We start from the raw sequence: 24,685 nt of genomic DNA on the forward strand, positions 1-24,685 counted from the left end.
AGAAAACAGCCAATTAACATATGTTAGAAAAAGGCTTCATAAAGATAATATATGATTAAAGACCCAGTGCAGCTGCTGAAAATCAAAACTATGCATTTAAAAAAGAAATCTCAGCCTGAGCTTCCGTATGGTTAAACTGATAATGGCTACTACGATTTTTTTTAAGTAGAAAAATATAATTATAGTGCTTCTTATAAGTTTGGGGTTATGGCAAGGGAGAACTGGGTACTGTGGCACTATTTACTATTCCTTACTTAGTTCTATAAATAGTTGAAGCCCTTGCCAAAACTCTGTAGTTACTTTGTTATAGTGCTATTTTAAAACACAGACCTTCATTGTGAGCTAAATGGCCTTCAGGATGCACTTTGTAGTTATAGCATTCCTCTCAAAACTATATCCTCCCTTTATCTGTGCAAAACTCCAGAACAAGAGACCTCTCCATGACTGCCCTGGCTCACTGTAAAACATGCTGGGGCTGTGTAACACACTGTTCGAATACTTCAGAACTTCTCTCAGGGTGGTGGGCAGGCAGGGTGACAGTTAAATGTCAGAAATGAGATTAAGGCACACACATGGAGTTCAGGTCCTCTAACAGAATGCAGTCCACGCTACCTGCCACAGCTTTGGAGCAGACCAATTACATGTAACATACTTGGTGTATTCTGATTGTAGATTTCAGGTTGGAGTACATGGGAATCAAACCCTGGCTAAGTCACTGTAATGGGGTATACCATGAGCCAAAATCATGATGCTTAATATCACAGATATCAATGACAAAATTCAATCAGTCACAGAGACATGAAGTTGTCAAGCATGATGCTACGTGCCATGGACACCACTGAAAACAAAACAGAAGGTCTCAGTCTTCATGAAGCTTACGTTCTAAGGGGAAAAAGGGCAACACACAAGTGCACCAATATGATGATTTTAAATACAGAAGTGCTATAGAGAAAATATCGCAGTGGAATGGACCAAGGGGTGATGAAGTGGAGAAGGGCAGAGGTGGCTATCTATTGGGCTGATTTATAGGGAGGGGTTATTTGAGGAGATGACGTTTGAGGAAAGCCCTAATCCACAATGGAGTCAGACATTATTTGGAGGATGAATACTCCGTCACTGTGCCTGTCACTGGTGGTACAAGCCTGGCCAAGTCATAGTTTTCTAAACCCCAGTCTCTTTCTCTATAGAGTGGGAATAGTAACAACATACACATTCTATTATGAGGTTGTGAGGCTCAAATAAAAGACAAAACCACACTCATTTGTAAAAATTCAGATGGATACAACTCAATTTCATACACTAATTGTGTAAACTTGCTTCCTTCACTGATATTATATAATTTTATAAAAATTGTAAATACTTTGAAGCTCTAGGAATATAGCATAATGCAAAATGTTTCTAAATTGACATCAATTGAGTCCAAAAGCATCCCTCTTCCCTTGAAATGTGAGTATTTCATGATGGCAATGGCCACTGGTTGAAACACCTCTTTTCATTTCACAATGCTAACTATGGATAACACCATGAAGAATCTGATAAATACAATGCAAAATTTCTGCAAGTGTAAAATATAGAATTATATAAAAATCACACTTTTTAAAATTTGAGAAAAAAACAATCTTACAACCGTACTAATGTAACTTGTCAGTGGGCTAGGTTGATTTATTTCATCTCTCAAAGGACCCAACTCCCAAGTAATCAGCAGAGCTTTGATTAAGATGTCAGCAGTATTTGAAAATCCCAGTGTCTCACAGTATTGGAAATATTCATGTATCTTTGGACATCCCCACCTATAGATTAAGCTGTGTAGCCTCAAGCCCAACAGATTAATTTCCAACTTGGAATGAATAGACAAATTGAATTATCTAGTATTTTAAATGAAAGCGTTTTTAAGAAAAAAATACAGGCCTGGCGCAGTGGCTCATGCCTGTAATCCCAGCACTTTGAGAGGCCGAGGCATGTGGATCACCTGAGTTCAGGAGTTCGAGACCAGCCTAGCCTACATGGTGAAATCCCGTCTCTACTAAAAATACAAAAAGTTAGCCAGGTGTGGTGGTGGGTGCCTGTAATTCCAGCTGCTCGGGAGGCTGAGACAGGAGAATCACTTTAACCTGGGAAGCAGAGGTTGCAATGAGCTGAGGTTGCACCATTGCACTCCAGCCTGGGCAACAAGAGAGAAACTCCATCTTAAAAAAAAAAAAAAAAAAGGAAGGATTATAAATTCTAATAAATAGAAAATTAAAGGACAACAGGCTCCCACTTTAATTTTTAAGGTTGTGAAACAGAAATGCCTAATGACAAATGATAGTATTTTAAGGAAAGGTCAAAATTTCCTATGCCTTAAGGAATTAGGGGTATATATTTTCAATTCTCCCTCCTCTTTTTTGGAGGAAGTTATAAATAGATTTGATTCTCTATTCCAAACCATTTCTTCTAATTTCCTGTTTGGTGAACATAATTTATCAGTTTTAAAATAGGGTAAGTTATATAATTTACCATGAAGCCTAAATGAACACTTATCGATTTTCATTTACAATCAATCAAATGCCCTACAAAAGAAACATAAATCTGAAAGTTTTTTAAAAATAAAAACTATATTTTTCTTTTCTAAATGTATCATGGTATAGATATTATAACAAAAAATTGCATTTGATTTTCTTCTCAGTGCTAACCAATATTTCACATTGCATTCTCACCTCCCTCCCTGTCTATCTAGTAGGATGACCTCTGGGATACATTTGCTTCACCCTCCAAAACCCAGTCATGACTGCATACAAACCAGACATGGAAATATGAGTTTCTCCTCTCTACTTGTAGCATTCCCCACTCCAGTTTTTCATTTCATCACCTTTCTTTATCTCTTTTTCCACATGTTTGGAACTGAGGGGATATGGAAAGTGAAACTGTCAAAGAGCTAGGAATAGAGGTGTTCTCAGACGAGCAAAATGTTTCCTCCATACAATCCAGGCAGGGCAAGGACAGGCACGCTGCAGAGGGATGTTGCCCTGGGCCAGAGTGAGCTGAGACAGTTTCTAGGCCGAAGGCCTAGCAGGAGGCTCCTTATCTCAGCATGTCTACACATTCTGTCCCAGGCTGTTTTCAAGGATAGCCCAAGTCATCCTCGGCAGATAACACTAAACGGAAAGTATTACAGTGCTTCCCCTGTAAAAAAGATCAGGTACTATAGATCAGAAGTTACTAAAATGGATCCTATTTTAGCCTGATTCTCTCAAACCTAGACTCTAAAAGAAAGCACTCTCGGGTGGAGGCAAGCTCACGACTTTCCTTTCCTTAGAGATCCCAAAGTGCCTAAATTAGCATTCCCCAAAGTGGATTCCAGAGATTACTGGTTCCTAAGATTTTAACAAGCTGTTTCTCAAAAAAAAAAAAAAAAAAAAAAGTCAGGAAATCAAATCAAATATATTTGGAAAACTGATTTATTTGTTATAGGACTTTTCATATTCTTCTACATGCTGAATGTCATAATCTGGACTATTTCCCAATATATTTCAGATATCCCTTGGAAATGCTAGCTTTAAAGAAAATAACAAGCTTCTTCCCATTGACCAATGAATACACTGCAGTGCTGAAATACTTCAGACCAATACTTGGCTCAGTGCTTGGCACAAGGAAAATACAATAGTATTGCTGAAGACATGATAAAACAATGGAAAACTTTTTTTTTTCAGTTTTATAAAAAAAGTGCAAACATAAGATCAGGTGCAGAAAATTGCTGTTCACTTGAAGTAAAAGTATTAATAAATTATTTTGCCATTAAAGAGTGCAATTTGTTTCCAAACCGCAAAGCACTAAGCGCAAAGCAATACTGCACAGTGGAAAGAAAGCTCCATTTGGAGTCAGACTCTCAGTTGGGTTCGCTAGCTGCATATCTTTGGGCCAGTCAACTTCTTTAAGTCTCATTATCCTCAGACATAAAAAGGGAGCCGGGTTCAGTCTCTAAGACCCCTTTCAAGTTCCTAAATGGTATGCATTCAATAAAGGAGGAAAACAAAACAAAACAAAACAAAAATGAGGGTTGGAATGATTCTCACAAAAGTATCATCCTACAGAAACAATAAATTGACAAGTTATTGTTTGGATAAATAGAATTGTTTTCTTCCATATTTTAAAATATTGAAGGATATGTTCACCTCAGCCTCAAGCAATATAAACAGTTAAGACTAAGGTTTCATTATGCACTTTGGACCACTAATCACATTTAGAAGTTTAATAAATACATAATAGCTAGGAAAATACTAAGGTATTAAAAGCTTTACATATATTAACTCTAATCCTCAAAACAGCCTATGAGGAAGGCACTATTACAATTTCCATTTTACAGAAAAGAAGGCTGGAGGACAGAGTGGTTAAGTAACTTACCCAAGGTCACACAGCTAGTGTTAGAGCTATAATCAATATCAATATATCAATATACCAATATTGGATCAATATATCAATCCAGTCTCACACTCAGAGAATCGAATCACATACTCTGTTACTTCTCTATGCTGCTAAGTAATATTCAAGGGAGTACTTAAAACTTAAAATTCTATGTAGAAAATGTGATGTTCAGGAGTTGGTGGAATCTACAAATTATTTTTAAAATGAGTGTTCTTCAACTCATCTCACATTTTCTTATTCTTGATGGCAAAAATGAGTTTACTTCCCTGTGCCAGCAGGGGAATAGAATGTAAGTTAGATATTTGTCTTTACTATTATAATTTACTGGATGATCATCAGCAGCTGTTTTTGGTTTTTTTTTTTCTACTTTCTACAAATGAATGTGTTCACAAGGAAAACCAGGTAAATGTATACTGTATAAATCAGTATATATTCTTCACAATTCCCGGAAAAAGAAACCCAAAAGAATTGTCTTCCTGATAATGGGTCAGGAGAGTCATTTTCACTTATGATGAAGTTAAGAATTACACAGAATTCTCATCTGAGAATTACAGATGAGAATTACACAGATATCTCATCCCCAAAGCTTGAAGCAGTCATTTTGCTTTCCTTCAAAGTACCTTGAGTAGGTTTCTAAAACACACCTAACCAGCTCTGGTATGACCCTGGCCATTATCCTTACCCTCCTCCCCTTGCCACTCCTCTTTTTCCTTCTCGTTATGCTCTTTCTCTTTCTTCTCCTTATCTCCTCAAATTATGGTCTACTACAAATCCTTCTATTTACAGGGAAGTTTCCACTTCAAAATTTTATACAGTTACCTACTTCTTCAGAATACTTTGTGTTTTAGAGCTCTGAGTTTAATTGTGCAATTCAAGCTCTTTAGGTACATTATTTTAGAAGGAATTTTACGGCTTTCAACTTTATAAGACACACGCCTAATAAAATATACTAATTGTATAAGAACAGCTGACATAATTGGCGATATATTTATAATTGTTGGAAAATACTGCACATTTTGGTGCATTATAGAAGTTAACATGACAGTTTTTTCACAATGTATTGTGTAGCCTTGCTCTATCAGAGCCTACAGCATGAGGAAGTAATCGTGTGTGTATATATATATTCAGCATTTGTCAGACTTTTTTCCTACTTTCATAGGCAGAACACCATGTACCTATGTTTGTACATATATAGTACATCTATATTCACTTACATAATTATATATGTTATTGTAGTAGTTGATGAGAACAGGTCAGAACCATTCAAAAACTCCATAAGGCAACAACGCCACATTATCTCTCTCTCTCTCTCTCTCTCTCTCTCTCTCTATCTATCTATCTCTACCTACCTACCTATGTAAGACTGACTTCAATTTCAGATGCTAGGCAGTTGATGGTGCAAAGCGAATGCTCAAAATGGCTGCTTCTATATCCCATGCACTCCAAGAGGACTTCTGGTAAACAGGAAATCTCTGAGATTTGTAATTCAGTAAGAACGAATCTGTTGGCAAATACTGCCTTTCAAAGTGAAGACACCTCTAGGATAATTTTTATGTCCGTGTCCCTCAGGTATGTTTGTGGGTCCAGTAATAAGTGTTCTGAAAAGGAAAGAGTGTGCATATTACTCTTATATGCTAAAAAAGCGGACATTTCCATCAAGTAACTAGTTCACATACCAAATTATTATTTGGTCACAATCCTGAGGATTCTAACTTTCAAAATTATATAAGAGTATTTGTCTTTTGTATCGTATGAAATAGAAAAACAATAAGCATAACAAAACCTCTACCAAGTCCCTTTGAAATAAATTAGTTAATATGAATATTTTGTGTTTCACTAAATTTACTATGGAGAATTCCAGAATGGACTTGGAAATTTCAACTGCCTTAAAATGAATCTTTATGAAAATGATAAATTTTGCCATGTCAAAAAAGAGAAAAAAATCTTTTCTTTTGGTTAGAAATACATATTTGTATTTTCCATTCATCTAAGGTAAGAGTAGAAACACCGGATATTAATATTGGCAAGAGTTATGCAAGGTCATATCATTTTTCCCTCCTTCAGATAATACCGTACCCAAATTATTTCACAAAGATTCCACCTCTCCTATTTTTAAGGCCTTCCGGAAAAGGAGCAACATAACCTTCCTCAGTATCCTATTTTGATGTTTCACAACTCTCACTCTCAGGAAATTCTTACTTATAGCTAATCCCTCACAGAATACTTTATGTCCACTCCTCTTGTTCTGTCCTTTGTACAGAGAACAACATTTGGTGATCACGTCCTCATGTCATACACTTCAATATTGTGTATTGCTTTATGTCTGTTCTTTTAATCTTTCCTTACGCTGGTTTTTATTTTTTCGCCATCTTTGCAGCTCATCATTTCACATCAGATTTGCCTAGATCTCTGGAGTCCAAAAATATACATAGTCCTTGAAAAGTGCTTTTGTTGTATATTCTTATCAAATAAATATTTTTATTTATCCACACTCTGCATGAATTTTAAAGTAAATGTTTACCTTTTCACTTATTTCAATTTTGTAATTTTTCCCTTGCCAGATTTGTTTCTAGCCAACTCTTCCACATTTTGTATTTAGAGAGTTTGTTTTTTTTTCTCCTTGGCTTCAAGACTTCTGACCACTTCTCTAGTTTACCAAGGTTATGCTGAATTCCTATCTTTCAAGGGCCAGACCTCAAGCACTCTTTATACAGGATTTGTTAGCATTTAAAATGTAATGACTAAATTATTTAATTCACTATTCCTTTAGCTACCATTAAAATCTGTGTGTGGTTTAGATGATATTTTCCCAATTTATGGATGAGGATGTCATATGGAAGAAAATCAAAAGCCTTAGAAAGTTGAAATTATACCTATCCTTTTTCCTTCACACTTTATTAACAAAGATGAAAATATTCTCATAGCACCAGTTCTTATATGATGCTATGTTGCTTAATACTCACGCCCTGAACTTTTAAAGATAAATAACACATGGATTTCATGGCAATATTTCCTTGTACACTTTTAAGTCTGCAAATAAGAGAGTTACTAATTGTGGTTCCCAGCGTCATCCTTCATTTAAGAAATGTTATCAGTGTGATAGTTAACTCCTAGTCTTTACTCAAAAATTCTTAAGACTAACAGCCTATGGCCCCGTAATGCCATTATGTTAAAATAGTTCCTGCTACTGAAATGATCTTAGGGCCGGGCACTGTGGCTCACACCTGCACTCCCTGAACTTTGGGAGGCTGAGGCAGATGGATCACTTGAGCCCAGTTCGAGACCAGTCTGGGCAACATGGTGAGACCCTGCCTCTACAAAAAATTTAAAAATTAAGTGGGTGTGGTGGCGCATGCCTGGAGTACCAGCTACTCAGGAAGCTGAGATCAGAGGATCGTTTGAGCCCAGGAGTTTCAGGCTGCAGTGAGATGTGGTTGCACAACTGCACCTCAGCCTGGATGATGGAATAAAACTTTGTCTCAAAAAAAAAAAAAAAAAGAAGAAAAAAAGAAGCAAAGAAAAAAAAATGATCTTAGGCTTTAGTCAAACCTTTCCAGGAGGAGTTCCATGAAATTTGTTTTGTTTCTTAGTATCAATGGATTCCATAAGTCACACATACTTGTATTACATTTCATGTATGTGGCTACAAGCATGTGTTCATTTCGCTGCATAATAAAGGTGAAAAATAAAGCAAAGAAGCATTTCATTTATTCCTTCACTCAACAATTTTTTTCTGAGTCACTACTATGTTCAAGGCACTATTCTATGTAATATGTCAGGGAATAAAACAGACAAAATTTCATGCCCTGGTGGAACGTACACACTCCTGATAGCACATTAAAAATGGGCTACGTTTTATTTTATCTTTTGTTGTTGCTTTTGGTTAAACAAATTCATAAAAATCATCTTTTAATTTTGATTCTCCTTATCCAACTTTAAGCCTTATTTCTTAGAACTTTTATTTTTATACTATTTGAAATTTCTCCTATTCTCATAATACATTCAGATTTCCATTCCTCATACAGATCTTTCTTTAGTCAACCAGATACTTCTTTTTAAGGCTTGTGATTTCTGATGAAGTGTTCTTTGACCATTTGTGCAATCCTCTATGCTACATAGTATATTTTATAAGAAATATCTTGTAATATTTACAAGTTCTTTGAAATCTGATCCATTAAAATTCATCTTTCCTATTGTTGGCTTCTTCAGATCTTTAATTCCTACCTGTATTTGGGTGCTACAATATTAAGAATCCGGCCAATCACCAGGTTTGATGAAAACTAAACTAATTAATTAATAATATTTTCCTAGCTTTACTGAAAGAAAAAAAATCTAGTAAAACAAGAAAGCTAACTCACTTTCATGTTTTCTGATATTACATGTCTGTGGAATCTGTGACTGTAATATTTAGATATTTCTATTATATGAGGATGAAAGCAAGTAATCAATGACTCTCTAACATATAATAAAAGATAGTGGATTAGAAACAGTGCCATTACAAACGTCAACAATATGGAAAAAAAAAAAGAGAAATTATACAGTGAAAAAAAATTTCCTGAGAATTCATTCAACAGCCACAAAGTTACAGTAAATAAAGAAATGGGAAATACTGTGATAGTTTCCTTGTCATAATTTTAACTTTCATTAAGTATGTTGAAAAAATTCGCAGTAGGAAAAAGGTGAGATAAAGGAGAAAACCCCTCTTATGTGTAGCTAGATGTCTGCCAGTATGTCAACTTCCTAGATACATTTTTCATGTGCTTATGAGAATCTAAATAATAATAATCTTCTTTAAAAATATGACATTCTGGGTTAGGATCTCAATAATTTGTGAAGAAAAACAACTTTTTCTTTTCCAGAATCCTTGAAATTAAGCGTGGGTTCTATTCTGGAACAGTGAAATGTCTGGACTGGAGAGGGCACGTGATGATGCTGACCACAACCATCTCCCCAGAGAAACACACTGCCCCTCCTTCAGTCCTGCTCTAGAAGGAGAAGGAGGGTATGACAGACAGAGATCATCAGTGGCTACTGATTGGGAGCTACAAAAGACGGAGTTATTTTGGAACATCCTGATATTTAGGGGGTGGTATCTTGTCAACCCTAACGTTTTTCCTATCTCATTTTTGGGAGGGATGAAGGGCTTTATAAAAATCTCTCTAGTTATATGTGTATTTTGCTTGCTTTTTTTTTTTTTTAATTCTATGGTAAAAAAAAAAGCATTTCTATTTCTATTTGGGTATCTTACTCCATTATCCATGTGAGATGGATAGACATGTTACATCACGTAAAATATTGTTTGTGTGTTATTTAAATTTGGTTCCCCCCAAAAAAAACCCTCAAAGGTGAACCAACAAATTGTTGAAATTAAGCTAAAAAAATCAATCTATCTTTGGAATTCTATTGAGACATTGCAAAAATGAGGCAGACCAATTATTAGGCAGACAATTTATGTTACACAATTACATTTAAACTACATTTTTCATGTGTCTGAAATTCAAGTTTTATACCTTATTCATTTTTTCTAAGACTCAATTTCTCCACAACAAAGTGAGAGGTGTTAACTATGTAATATATATGTTTCTTCTATTTCTAATTAAAATTTTTATTAGCTATGATCTATTGAAACAAATATCTATGACTTTCTCTAATCCAGAAAATTATCATGTTAACAGATTCTATTTCAAGTTGGAAACACAGAAGAAAAAAATCTGAAGAAATAAATTTGAAAATTGGCAACAACGTCTTAATTTGTGTTTGATTGTTTGTTCCTGTGAAACTTTTTTTTTTTTTTTTTTTGAGACGGAGTCTTGCTGCTCTGTCACCCAGGCTGGAGTGCAGTGGTGCAATCTCGGCTCACCGCAACCTCTGCCTCCTGGGTTCAAGCGATTCTCCTGCCTCAGCCTCCTGAGTAACTGGGACTACAGGTGCGCACCACCACGCCTGGATAATTTTTTTGTATTTTTAGTAGAGACGGGGTTTCACCATGTTGGCCATGATGATCTTGATCTCCTGACCTCGTGATCCACCAGCCTGGGCTTCCCAAAGTGCTGGGATTACAGGCATGAGCCATCGCACCCCTGCGAAACAATTTTAAATCATCCTAGTAAAAGTGGTAAAATTTAATGAGCATGCCCCAGGCATGTTATTTCTATATTTCAATTGGACCTTAATCTCAGGCAAATTCGTAATCTCATGATTATACTTCATATTATATTTCTGTTGAGGAAATCAAGGCATTGAAAAAATGCACAACTTGTCCAACTCTATACTGCAAGTAAGCAACAAAATTGGGTTTTGAGATAAGGGAGGCTGACTCCAGAGTCCAAGTTCTCAAAAAGGCCTAAGGAAATATTTTTATCATGTTGTTTTAAAATATTATATGTCAAAGTCCGAAATCAGTTGACAGTGACATACATATATCAAATTCAAGTACAACCACGATCAGAGCTTTTATCTAAAAATACACCTCGAAGTTTATTTCTTATTAGATTAGAGAAGGGTTTTTGTTTTGTTTCTGCTTGGTTTTTTGTTACCACTCTTTGAAAACTGGGAAAATATACTGCTATTTGTAGTTTTAACACAGTACACCAAAAATACTAAGTAAATCTAACTTTTTCTCTGATTCAAATTATATTTCTTAATGCACTTCTATTTAAAGTCATTCCAAAAACAACTCTTTTCCTCATGGTTAAAATTTTAAATAGTGTTATAGTATACCAGCAAGTATTTACTTACAACTTATAACTAGGGATAAGATATCTCTAATTTTCCATTTGGTGTATGTCAGTAATGTAAACATAATTAGGAACTCTGACTATATAGATTAACTTGACAATGAATTGGAAAAATGTGCTGCTAAAGGTTAAATTTATAGAGGAATTGGTGAGAAATGCCGTGTTCTGCAATTTATTGAACATGTCTTATCTAATAAATGTCTATGCCTTTCTTATCAAATGATTCTTAAGAGTTCTGTGTATGAAAATAGTTCACCTTGTGCATTTAAAATTACCCATTGATTGTAAGCAACTTTTTAATACTTTACAATAGATAGGATACTAAAAAACGTCAAGGACCAGTGAACCTGTTTTAATTCCATGTTAATTAATTTGAACTGCATGTAAAAGTTGAAGCCAGAATGAACATTACAAATAACGAACGCTTAACTGCAACTGTCATATCCTCCCGTGTCAATGGTGCCTATAATTGCTGTTGTCAACAGCTGCTTCAAATTGCCAAAAGACCCCAGAAACAATTCAGGAAGGAAAAGTTTTTAAATGGATCCACATTATGGAAAAAACTCTTCCTTTATAGTCACTGTTCATTTCCTGCATTGAAATATGACGTAGAAGCAACTGTAAGTAAGAAATTACGACCTACTTAAGTGCTTTTTAATAAGCCAAACTTTCATTATGTGAAATTTCTTTTTTGTAGTCATTTCAGTATCGACATACCACTAAATCTGAGATTACAACAGCAGTAGAAGTTTTGAGGAAGAGTACACTTTCACTATTTGTCATGATCTTTTCCATTCATTTACCTGAATCTTACGCATCACAGTTCCCTTCCTGTGTGATAAGCTTATCTAAAGTAGGAAACAAGCAATAATGCATATGAGTCTTCTATGGTGAACATCTCAGAAGTTGGTGATAAAAATACACATTTTTATCTTACATAATCTAAATAAATTTTAAATGGTAATAACACTAACTTATGGTGCAGAAAACTTTTGTTTTTTGAGATGGAGTCTCGCTCTGTCGCCAGGCTGGAGTACAGCTCACTGCAACCTCCACCTCCTGGGTTCAAGTGATTCTCCTGCCTCAGCCTCCCAAGTAGCTGAGACTACAGGTGCACGCCACAACACCCAGCTAATTTTGGTGCTGATAATTTTTATAAAATACATAATAAAAGATTTTTCTTAACATTGAATTTTCAGCCTATATCTTCTTGATATGTACTTTCAGCTTATTAGAACTTTGTTAAAAGTGGTATAACATTCAATTACATATTTACTCCTATAATAAAAATAATATATACTTCAAGTCTTTTTTTTTTTTTTTGAGATGCATTCTAGCTCTGTTGCCCAGGCTGGAGTGCGGTGGCGCAATCTCAGCCCACTGCAACCTCCACCTCCCGGGTTCATGCGATTCTCCTTGCCTTAGCCTCCTGGTAGCTGGGACTACGGGTGCCCGCCACCACGCCAGGCTAATTTTTGTATTTTTGGTAGAGATAGGGTTTCACCATGTTGATCAGGCTGGTCTTGAAGTCCTGACCTCAGATGATCCACCCACCTCTGCCTCCCAAAGTGATGGAATTACAGGCGTGAGCCACCATGCCTGGCCTACTTCAACACTTTACGAAAGTGCTACAAATATATGGCATTTCCCTATAATGACAGAAAAATGACAGCAGCAATACCATGTAGTAAACTGTCATTTCAGAGAGCAAAAGGAAAAAGAAAATCATTACAAAAATCACTCTGTAATGTCTTTGTTAGCATAAAAGAAAATTAAGCAGTAAAGTTCCAAGGAGAAATCTCTTTGTGCTCAACATGGTAGAAATATCATTCAAACACAGTTTATCCCTGCAGGGAGATTACCTGTAATGCCGCCAAGGTCACTGTCAAGTTGTATTAATGGCCATATTCAGTATGTCAGTCACATGAGTTGGAGCTGCCTTCTTCTTTTTTCTACTGCATAATGACCAGCCTCTAAATGTACACTGACAAACTGAGGTGAGTGAATATGTTTTTCCAAAATATAGATGGAAGAGTTTCATTCCACCAACTCTTCTATTTTAATTGTACCAAACACGTGGAATGGATATAGTCTGGCAGGAAAGAGGTTTTAAATATTCTACTTTGAAAATTGAACCATTTTTGAAATGGCACCTTGAATCTTAAAGGGAATTATTTGTGGCTGCATTGTGAATTTTCTTTCAAATGTACATTTGCTTATATTGCTGCAAAAGCACAAAATATTTTTTAAATGCAGGAATGACGTCTTTTTATATCAAAAATGTCACTGGAACATGGAGTTAGCAACAGAATGATTTAGTATTCAATAGTTAAGCTCTATTGCGGATTTGTAATTTTCATTTATCAACATTATTCATCATTTACAGAAGAAATGTGAGAGTGTAGACATATTGGCTTTTGAATACATCTACTGACTAGAGAGTAGCAGTCATATTTATGTAGAGTAAAAACAGATTAACACATCTTCTTTACAGGACTTATATTTAAATAGAATAAATCACACCCTGAAAGAATAAATGATATTCTAGTATGTTATAATAAGACTTGCTCGTAGGAGACATCTCTATTAAAAATTTATCACTTTAGCCCTAGAATACCAATGTAGTCCTAGTTTTGAGATTAGCAATCTATTATAATATCTGGAAATTTAGCAATTTCAATTTTCAATTTGCTATCAGAACTCAGCACTGATTTCTTTGTTTCACTTACATACTTTAATTCACCAAAACATTATTGAAATGACTGGGAAAGAAAGAAGACATGAAGAAGCACTTCCCTGCTTACATCAGCTGACCTGGACAATATTTTAAGACTATATTTAGAAAAAGATAAAAAGAGCTGAGTACAGCGACAATTCTCTGTGCCAACTTCCTCTATTACCACTTTTCTTTTCTTTTTTTTCACTTAGTAACTTGACTATAAAACACATGTTAAAAAAAAGGGAGAGAGAATAATCCCAGGACCTCTAGATAGAATTTTAACATGTGAATCTGGTACATAAAATTAGGATACAACATCAGACACCAATCTATACCTTTCATATGAGACCACCATTTCTATTTTGTTTATCTCATTTATATTTACACAATTTTTGGTAATGACTTGGATCACAAATGCATTCAAAGTTCCTCACATTTGAATTTGAACACAAACAATGATTATCTAAATTACAAAAGTTAGAGTCAAATAAATTCCACTTATAAAGTACATAACTAAAAAGTGGGAATACACAAAGTGCAAATAAACTTCATTCAGCACGCTTACAACTATGCTTACAACTAGCGATTGGGCATAAAATGTAACTAAAAATCCATATATAATATTTTAGCTGAGATTTTAAATCTTTAATTGTCATAACTTTTAAAAAGATGATATAGAATAATTTGCCATTTAAAAAAACTCCTCAAAGGTAAAGAGCAGAAAGACATTGTGGAGAGAATCTGCTGGATTTAAAAACTTAATAATGATCTGTATTTGAAAGACCAAAGTTATAGTGGCCAAAACCATTTTAGTAGAGGATAATAAAGCTAGTTCCAGAAAAATGGTTGAATGGCTACAACTTTCTAGTTATGTAACATCTCTTATTTTATAGAATATTGGGTAATCTTACACGGATGAAAAATTACATCCTTAAGGTAAAAACTCCCATTTTCACACATTTCTATCTCTCTACATAGTAATGATAATAGGCAATATGCTAAGTGCTTTATGCATATTATTTAATTCTTATAATTATTCTAGTCATAATAAGGTAGATAAGCTGAGGCACATTTTGAAATCTTCAGTAGTATAACTTCTCACTCCACACTGTTAACTAGTGATTTGCAACTGGGGTAAGCACATTATAAAAATGGGCACACTGATGAAAATTAAGTTTGGATTTTGGTAAAAAAATTGACACTCCTGGGGATACAAATTCCATTTGCCTATGTCATTCTTCTCTGTGAAAGAGTTAAAAGATTTTCTATACTAATGAATAAGGTATTTAGAGTTCTTAACGGGTGATGTAGAAGTAAGTAGTATGTGTTCTTGGATGACACAAAGATTCTTCAATATTGGAAAATACTTCTTAAAATAATATTATTGTGAGCCAGGCGTGGTGGCTAACGCATGTAATCCCAGCACTTTGGGATGCCGAGGCAGGTGGATCACAAGGTCAGGAGTTCGAGACCAGCCTGACCAACATGGTGAAACCCCGTCTCTACTAAAAATACAAAAATTCGCCGGGCATGGTGGCGCCTGCCTGTAATCCCAGCTACTCAGGAGGCTGACGCAGGAGAATCGCTTGAACCCGGGAGGCAGAGGTTGCAGTGAGCCGAGATCGCGCCAGTGCACTCCAGATTGGGCAACAGAGTGAGACTTTGTCTCAAAAAAAAAAAAAAAAAAAAATTCTTGTGCCAAATACTTTAAAATATTTTAAAGTATTTTTAATTTACTTGTTTCTAAATAATTTAATTTGAAAATAAAAAGCATTCATAAATCCACATGCTCCAACTGCTTAACCCTTAAAATTCACATATCTAAGAGCCAGCACACATGATTTTGGCTAATCTGTTGAATTCTATGGGAAATATCTCTTCTTTGTCCTGCAAAGATTGCAAAACTTATTTGTTAAAAATAAATAAATAATAAGGTCATATGCACATAATATATATACAGAGAATGAGTGTGATATTTGACTAACATGCAATGTTATCTAAGACTCAATTTAAAAATCTACAATAAAAGTTTGAACATATTTATTCTATTTAATCTGTGTCTTAAGTGTTTAACTTTGTATCAATCACATTCATGATTGGCCATTATTAAAGTTTTGTTTTCTCTGTTTCAGGCAAATGAATCTGCAAGCTGCCTTAAGAAATTATCTATCGTTAATCAATATTTCGAAATGCAGAAACTTCCAGAAATTAGCAAATCCAGTATACTCTAGATCCATTTTTAATTTAATAATTTGAATTGAAACCATTAACATTTCACTCCAATACTTTTTTAAAAAAACACTGAAGAGATAAATGACAAAAGTAAAGTCATATTTAATGACTTTAGGGTAGCTTGTAGGATAATGTAGGATTATGTGGTAATTATAAAATCTATTTCCTAGACCTTCCTCTCAAAAGGCAAAAACCAAAAATCCTTCAAAGCAAAATTTATTTTTTTTGTTTGTTTATTATACTTTAAGTTTTAGGGTACATGTGCACAACTTGCAGGTTAGTTACATATGTATACATGTGCCATGTTGGTGTGCTGCACCCATTAACTCGTCATTTAACATTAGGTATATCTCCTAAGGCTATCCCTCCCCGCCCCCCAACCCCATAACAGGCCCCGGTGTGTGATGATCCCCTTCCTGTGTGCATGTGCTTTTATTGTTCAACTTCCCCCTATGAGTGAGAACATGCAGTGTTTGGTTTTTTGTCCTCAAAGCAAAATTTCTTGACTGTAAAAGCTTAAAAAGGATAATGATTGTTAATTCTTGTTTTGTGTCATGCACTATTCTATTCATTTTACATATATTAGTTCATCTAATCTCCAGAAATATGCTTTGTAGTATTATGCCCATTTTACAGATGAAATGGAGGCAAAGAGGACTTCTTTTGCCCATGGTAAGAGGTAGATCTAGGGTTTGAAGTTACAGGATCTGACTCCAGCATCTGCTTTTTAACTATTACACTAAAAAGAGTCCAACATTTTAATGAAAAATAATGGCTATTTTGATTGCCATAAGAATGCAGCATCTGAGTGGGAACTGCCAAAGTAGATGAGGGTATGGAGGATTCAGAGTTGAAGAGGACCTTCAGGGCCACTATGATGCCCAGAATGCCCTTCACTTCAACATGGAGCAGTAATTGTAACCTCCAGATTTGTGTACACACTCTGATTTTGGTGATCTCTATGACACACACACACGCACACACATATACACATACACACACACACATATATATGCACACACACACATACATATAATTATTTAAGAAAGAATATATATGTACAGTTGACCCTTGAACAACACCCACAGGTTAGAACTGAGAGAGTCCACTTACACATGAATTTTCTTCCATCTCTACCACCCGAGACAGCAAGACCAACCCCTCTCTTCGTCGTCTTCATCAGCCTACTCAATGTAAAGATGAGGATGAAGACCTTAATGATGATCCACTTTAACTTAATATTTTCTCTTTTCTATGATTTTCTTAAGAACATTTATAACATTTTCTTTTCCCTAGCCTACTTTCTTGTAAGAATGCAGTATATTCCTGTCCAACGTGGTGAAACCCCATCTCTACTAAAAATAGAAAAATTAGCTGGGCGTGGTGGCGTGCACCTGTGGTCCCAGCTACTCAGGAAGCTGAGGCAGAAGAATCACTTGAACCCGGGAGGTGGAGGTTGCAGTGAGCCGAGATCGCGCAACTGCACTCCAGCCTGGTGACAGAGTGCCACTCCATCTCACAAAAAAAAAAAAAAAAAAAGAATGCAGTATATAATACATATAACACACAAAGTATGTGTTAATTGACTGTTTGTGTTATTGGTAGGGCTTCCAGTCAACAGTAGGCTACTAGTAGTTAAGCTTTTGGAGAGCCAAAAGTTATATACAAATCTTCAACTGCATGGGGGGTCAGTAACCCTAACCTCCACATTGTTCAAGGGTCAATTGTATTTTAGTAGAAAACTTGGCTACTTTGCTTCATTTTTGAATAATGCCATGACTTCACTTTGTCTTCCATTTTGATGTCAATCAACCTGTACAAGTATTGGATGCAGACTTACTAAACCCACTCAATATAAACAGCCTATCTGCTAGGATCTGGCTAATTTTTCTACTAGCTTTTAGCTTCTGCTTGCTAAGGTTCTATACGCTACTATTCGTAATAATTTCACATTCTCGATGATAAGTCGGCTAACTTAATTAAGGTTTAAAAATTCAGTATTTGGTCATGTACGACTCCTTATTTTATATTTTAAAATTAAAATAGTTTCATGCATTTATATTTGTGTGAATAGGTTGTAATATTTATTGCAAGTACTGGAAATTATAAAATGTATTTTCAGCATCTCAAAGAGATTAAAGTATTCTAATTGTACTAAAATGTACCAAGATGATTATTACTTGAACCTTTATAATGCAATCAATACAATCAGACTCAATCAATAAGTACTTTATATATCTGGAATATAAGCAATTTATCAAACTATTTGTATTTTTGTTTGCAACATTTCCATAATGACAAGTGAAAACTCGAATGACCAAAAGTAATTGTACTTGGCAGTCATATACATTCCTAAGCACTATAGTGACAAAAAATAACTTACTGCTATCATTATAGACATCATAACACGATTAAAAGAATTTTAGAACTGTATGTTGAACTGTATGTTCAACATTGGTTAGTAACAGAAAAGATTTATAATATTAAAAAACACATCCTTTAACTAAATACTTTAAATCTTTTCTATATAATTAAAAAGTTAATTTTAAAGCTATTTCTTCTAAAAAATGTTAGAAAAGCACACACCTAAAAGTACCAGTGGTGGGGTAAAAGTTGAGATGAAGAAAATTCATAAAACATGATGAGAAAAGGTAGTCAGAATTGCACTCTAAACTTAGTGCCCAAAAAAGACCATTCAGAGTAGTGGTCTCTCTATTTATTTGAACACTGGATTCTGGTTGTATTAACCATCACTTGAAATAAGTATACTGTACAACAATAAAACTTTCCTTAACAAAGATTTTTATTTTAATTATTTTATTTTTCCAAGCGATAATTAAAATGGTGCATGTGCTGCTCTTAAGAATGTAGTTCTAGCTGGGCACGGTGGCTCACGCCTGTAATCCCAACACTTTGGCAGGCCAAGGTTGGCAGATAACCTGAGGTCAGGAGTTTGAGACCAGCCTGGCCAACATGGTGAAACCCCGTTTCACCGTTTTTGTATTTTTAGGAGAAACTAAAAACACAAATACTAAAATACAAAATACAAAAATGAGCTGGGCACGATGGTGCACACTTGTAATCCCAGCTACTTGGGAGGCTGAGGCAGGAGAATCACTGGAACCTGAGAGGTGGCGCTTGCAGTGAGCTGAAATAGCGCCACTGCGCTCCAGCCTGGGGGACAGGGCAAGACTCTGTCTCAAAAAAAAAAAAAAAGAATGTAGTTCTAGCCAGACACAGAGGCTCATGTTGGTAATCCCAGCTCTTTGGGAGACCAGGGTTAGAGGATTGCTTGAATCCACAATTTCAAGACAAGCCTGGGAAACATAGCAAGACACTGTCTCTGTAAAACTGAAAAAAATTAATTGGGCATGGTGGCCTGTGCTTGTAGTCCCAGCTACTCAGGACGCTGAGGTGCGAGGATCACTTGAGCCTAGAAGTTCAAGGCTGCAGTGAGCTAGGATAGCACCATTGTACTCCAGCCTGAGCGATGGTGAGACTCCATCTGTTTTGGATTTTTTTGTTCATTTGTTTTTAAAAAAAAGTAAAGAAAAAGAATGTAGTTCTAGCTGAGTGTGCAATGAGTAGTGAGATCTTCTAGGCTGGACTTGTATACGTTTAAACAAGAGTTGATTACCAAACAGCTGTGTACACAGGGTAGCCAGGGAGCTTCCATTAGGACCATTAAGAAGAAACGTTCTGTTAGCTCCATAATGCCTAGACATTTAGTAAGTTGAAACAGTATAAAGTCACTATAATTAAATGGGCACAGATAATTGTAAACTGCCTGCAAAAGTGAAATCTATGCAAAATAAAAATGACAATCATTTTAGGCAACAATATTATTAAAACAAATATATCATAAAGACTGCTGGTGAAAAGTAAAACTTAGTGATTTGAATATCATTTTGATTTTCTTATTCCCATCATCATCTGATATTAAACAGCAATGGAAAATATAAAGGCATGATTTAGCTTTTATTAGATGTCCACGTAATGAATTTATAAAAGATATAAACCCTTTCCAATGTACTTGAATCTTCAGATATTTACAGGAATAAGCGATCCACATGGTCAGATGCTCATCACAAAACAAATAAAACAATTTACATGAATGCTTTGGATAAAGCTTAAACTTCAAACAAGGATAATAAGATGTACTATGTCTCCTAATAAATCATAAATGTGTCTTTCAACATTGTTTTATCAGTGACAACATTATTGTTATTTCATGACCTCACTTGTGACACAAACAAGAACCACAATCATTCCTAATTTTTACATGGGGGCAAAATCTGAGGAAGAACTGTAAAATTATAATTTAGGAAAGAGGTGGAAGCATTCTTTATCTATTACCTGCATGTAAAATGAATTAAAGACCATTGAGAGCAGCTTTTTGCAGCTATATAAGAACCATATTTTTGGTGAGACCAAAGCTTTAATCTATGAGACTTCTAAATCTCAGTTTTCTTCTCTGTGAAATATGTATTAGGATACAATAAATAGATACTATTGCCATGGGTTTATAGAGTAGTTATGATCAACATCCTTCAGCCAGTCAGGTAGTATAGCAGATGTGGTGCAAAAAATAATTTGTTAGTTGAGAGATTAGAAATCAATCAGGAAGTATATCCTGAATAGAAAGGTGAATAAAACTTAACCTCTGCACACCAAAGAGCCTACATTTTATCAAACTTGGAAAGATACTTTAAAAATTAACTTTAGTACAATGTAGAAATTAGTAAACACCATAAAAGAGACACTCAAAAAGTTCTCTGAAAGTCAGATGTGGGAAAGATAACACCATTGGGAAAAGCCTCATGGTGGAAATACTTCATCAACTACTTTTCCTAGATCTCTCTCACCTGAATTAGGATAATTATTACCCTTCATTCACTTGCTTCAAATTAATTCAACAAAGATGGAACATCTATTATGTGTAACAGACTCATACAGACCATAGAGAAAACAAAGATGAGTAAGGTGCAGTCTCCAAGCTCAAGGAGTTTACAATCTAACTTGGGTTGAGAATAATGTACATTTGTACATTATTTCCATTTTACAGTGCTATGTGCACATATCATTTCACACAGACCTTGAGAATCATGTTTACTGAAGTCACAAAAGTTGATATTTTTCTACTGTGATATGAAAAAAGGACTGCAATGAATCACAACTACCTCAGTAGAGCCTTTAGGGTCTTGTGCTTCCGAGAACTGAGATTCATTCTAATTTTAGTATTTATGTGAATGGCTTGACCCATTCTAGAATAGCTTATGTGTGGTTTACTACCCAAAGTGGTTCTATGCACAATAAAGGAGACAAGCATGGCAGGAGGTACACAGAAAGGGTGCTGGACCCCGTGCTGTCCTTGCTGAAGAATCCTGAAGAAGAGACACAAATTTAAAAAGAAGCTTTGGAACTTTTCCTCAGCTTTATAGTTCATTTTTAAACAGCTGTTTTTAAATGTTGGGATTTGAAAGAGTTTTGCTAAGTGCTATATAGAATATATAGGAAGCATTTAAATATATATCCATATTCAAGTTTATTTTCTTAAATAATTTGAAAATATTTTTATCTATAAAACAAATTACTTCCATTTTTAGAAAAGCATCATTACATTTTTTTGAATAGCACAACATACAGTAATAAGATGATATACTTCTTTTAACGATTTTGGATATTTTTTCCTTAACTGTTCACAGATTATTTTTCTGATACAAAAGAATAAACTAGTTAGTTGGATAATTTAAAAGCCAGTGAATAAAATAATGCTTTTCATGTTGCATGATTTTTATTCCCTTTCTGATACAGTTTGGCTGTGTCCCCACCCAAATCTCATCTTGAATTGTTCCCATAATCTCCACGTGTCATGGGAGGGACCAGGTGGAGATAACTGAATCATAGGGGAGGTTTCTCCCATACTGTTCTCCTGATAGTAAGTGAGTTCTCATGAGATCTGATGGTTTTATAAGTGGCTTCCCCATTCACTTGGCACTCATTCTCTTTCCTGCTGCCCTGTGAAGAGGTGCCTTCTGCCATGATTGTAAGTTTCCTGATACTTCTACAGCCTTGTGGAACTGTGAGTCAATTAAACTTCTTTTCTTTATAAATTACCCAGTCTCAGGTATTTCTTCATAGCGGTGTGAGAACAGACTAATAAAGTAAATTGGTACTGCAGAGAGTGGGACACTGCTGTAAAGATGCCTGAAAATGTGAAAGCAACTTTGGAACTGGGTAACAGGCAGAGGTTGGAACAGTTTGGAGGGCTCTGAAGAAGACAGATTTGGGAAAATCTGAAACTTCCTAGAGACTTGTTGAATGCCTTTGACCAAAATACTGATAGTGATATGGACAATGAAATCCAGGCTGAGGTGGTCTCAGATGGAGATGAGAAACTTGTTGGGAACTGGTGTAAAGGTAACTCCTGCCATGTTTTAGCAAAGAGACTGGAGGCATTTTGCTCCTGACCTAGAGATCTGTGGAACTTTGAACTTGAGAGAGATGATTTAGGTTATTTGGTGGAATAAGTTTCTAAGCAGCAAAGTGTTCAAGAGGTGACTTGGGTGCTCTTAAAATCATTGAGCTTTATGCATTCACAAAAATGTGGTTTGAAATCGGAACTTATGTTTAAAAGGGAAACACAGCATAAAAGTTCAGAAAATTTGCAGTCTGACAATGAGATGGAAAAGAAAAACCCATTTTTTGATGAGAAATTCAAGCCAGCTGCAGAAATTTGCATCAGTAACAAGAAGCCAAATGTTAATCACCAAGACAATGGGAAAAATGTCTCCAGGGCATGTCAGAGACCTTCATGGCAGCCCTTCCTATCACAGGCCCAGAGGCCTAGGAGGAAAAAAAGGTTTTGTGGGCCAGGCCCAAGACCTTGCTGCTCTGTGCAGTCTTGGGACTTGGTGCCCTGTGTCCCAGCTGTGGCTAAAACAGCCTGAGGGAACAGCTCAGGCTGTTGCTTCAGAGGGTTCAAGCTCCAAGCCTGGCGGCTTACACGTGGTGTTGGGCCTATGGGTACACAGAAGTCAGGACGTGAGGTTTGGGAATCTCTACCCAGATTTCAGAGGATGTGTAGAAATGCCTGGATGTCTAGGCAGAAGTTTGTTTCAGGGGTGGAACCCTCATGGAGCTGCTAGGGCAATGCAGAAGGGAAATATGTGGTCAGAGCCCTGACATCTGTGTTTCCACTGGGGCACTGCCTAGCAAAGCTGTGAGAAGAGAGCCATCATCCTCCAGATCCCAGAATGGTAGATCCACTGACAGCTTGCACCATGCACCTGGAAAAGCCACAGACACTCAATGCCAGCCTGAGAAAGCAGCCAGGATTGGGGGGCTGGGGGGCTATACCCTGCAAAGCCACAGGGGCAGAGCTGTCCAAGGCCATGGGAGCCCACCTTTTGCATCAGCATGACCTTGATGTGAGACATAGAGTCAAAGGTGATCATTTTGGAAATTTAAAGCTTAATGACTGTCCTACTGGATTTTGGGCTTGCTTGGGGCCTGTAGCCCCTTTGTTTTGGCTAATTTCTCCCAGTTTGAATGGGTGTATTTTCCCAATGCCTATACTCCCATTGTATCTAGGAAGTAACTAACATGCTTTTGATTTTGATAGGTGGAACTAACTAACATGCTTTTGATAGGTGGAAGGGACTTGCCGTGTCTCAGATGAGACTTTGGATTTCGACTTTTGGGTTAATATTAGAATGAGCTAAGACTTTGGGGGACTGTTGGAAAGGCATAATTGCATTTTGAAATGTGAGAATATGAGATTTGGGAGGGGCCAGGGGAGAAATGATATGGTTTGGCTGTGTCCCCACCCAAGTCTTATCTCGAATTATAGGTCCCATAATCCCCACTTGTAATGGGAGAGACCAAGTGGAGATAATTAAATCATGGGGGTAGTTCCCCCGTACTGTTCTCCTGATAGTGAGTTCTCATGAGATCTGATGTTTTTATAAGGGGCTTACTCCTTCGCTCAAAACTTATTCCCTCTCCTGCCACCCTGTGAAGGGGTGCCTTCTGCCACAATTCTAAGTTTCCTGAGGCCTCCCCAGCCATGTGAAACTGTGAGTTAATTAAATCTCTTTTCTTTATAAATTATCCAGTCTTGGCTATTTCTTCATAGCAGCGTAAGAACAAACTAATACACTTCCTTTCTTCAGATTTCCTGTAAAGTAGCTGAATGTGTGCTTAAATTATGGTCCAAGTCTAGAGGACGCAGAGAAAAATCTCAAAGCATGATTTTAAAAACAATGAAATTTATAAAACAGCAACAACAAAAACTCTGTGAATTAAATACATGCAGTATTGTTTTTAGACTCATAAGAATATCCAGCAAAGTATTTTCTTCCTATTAATTTAATTTTGACAAATTGAGGCATTTCTTGATAATGAAATCCAACTTGTGAATATGTACTTCAAATCAACTCAATGCATACATCTTTCCTCCTTGCAAAAACAGGATCTCCTCAATCTTCCCTCCACGCTCCTACATATGCCTATCACCTCAAGACCAACCTCTACATTCAAGCCTCACCAATCTTTTTTCCTGTCTCTCATATAGGAATTCATGTGTAATATTCAC

At 35.9% G+C, this 24,685-nt stretch overlaps 1 protein-coding gene across 57 annotated transcripts in view, besides 1 other annotated feature; it reads right to left on the reverse strand.

The window, feature by feature from the left end:
• MEF2C (myocyte enhancer factor 2C) overlaps positions 1-24,685 on the reverse strand; it is a 186,989-nt gene that overhangs the window by 116,508 nt on the left and 45,796 nt on the right. The window lies entirely within an intron of this gene.
• Positions 945-1,074: an enhancer, noted in NCBI's record as "active region_22765". NCBI's record gives its function as "activates an Ori minimal core promoter by ATAC-STARR-seq in GM12878 lymphoblastoid cells {active_cell/tissue: GM12878}" and the evidence as "EXISTENCE:reporter gene assay evidence [ECO:0000049][PMID:35858748]".

This window comes from Homo sapiens, chromosome 5 (genome assembly GCF_000001405.40).
Source record: "Homo sapiens chromosome 5, GRCh38.p14 Primary Assembly".
NCBI lineage: Eukaryota > Metazoa > Chordata > Mammalia > Primates > Hominidae > Homo > Homo sapiens.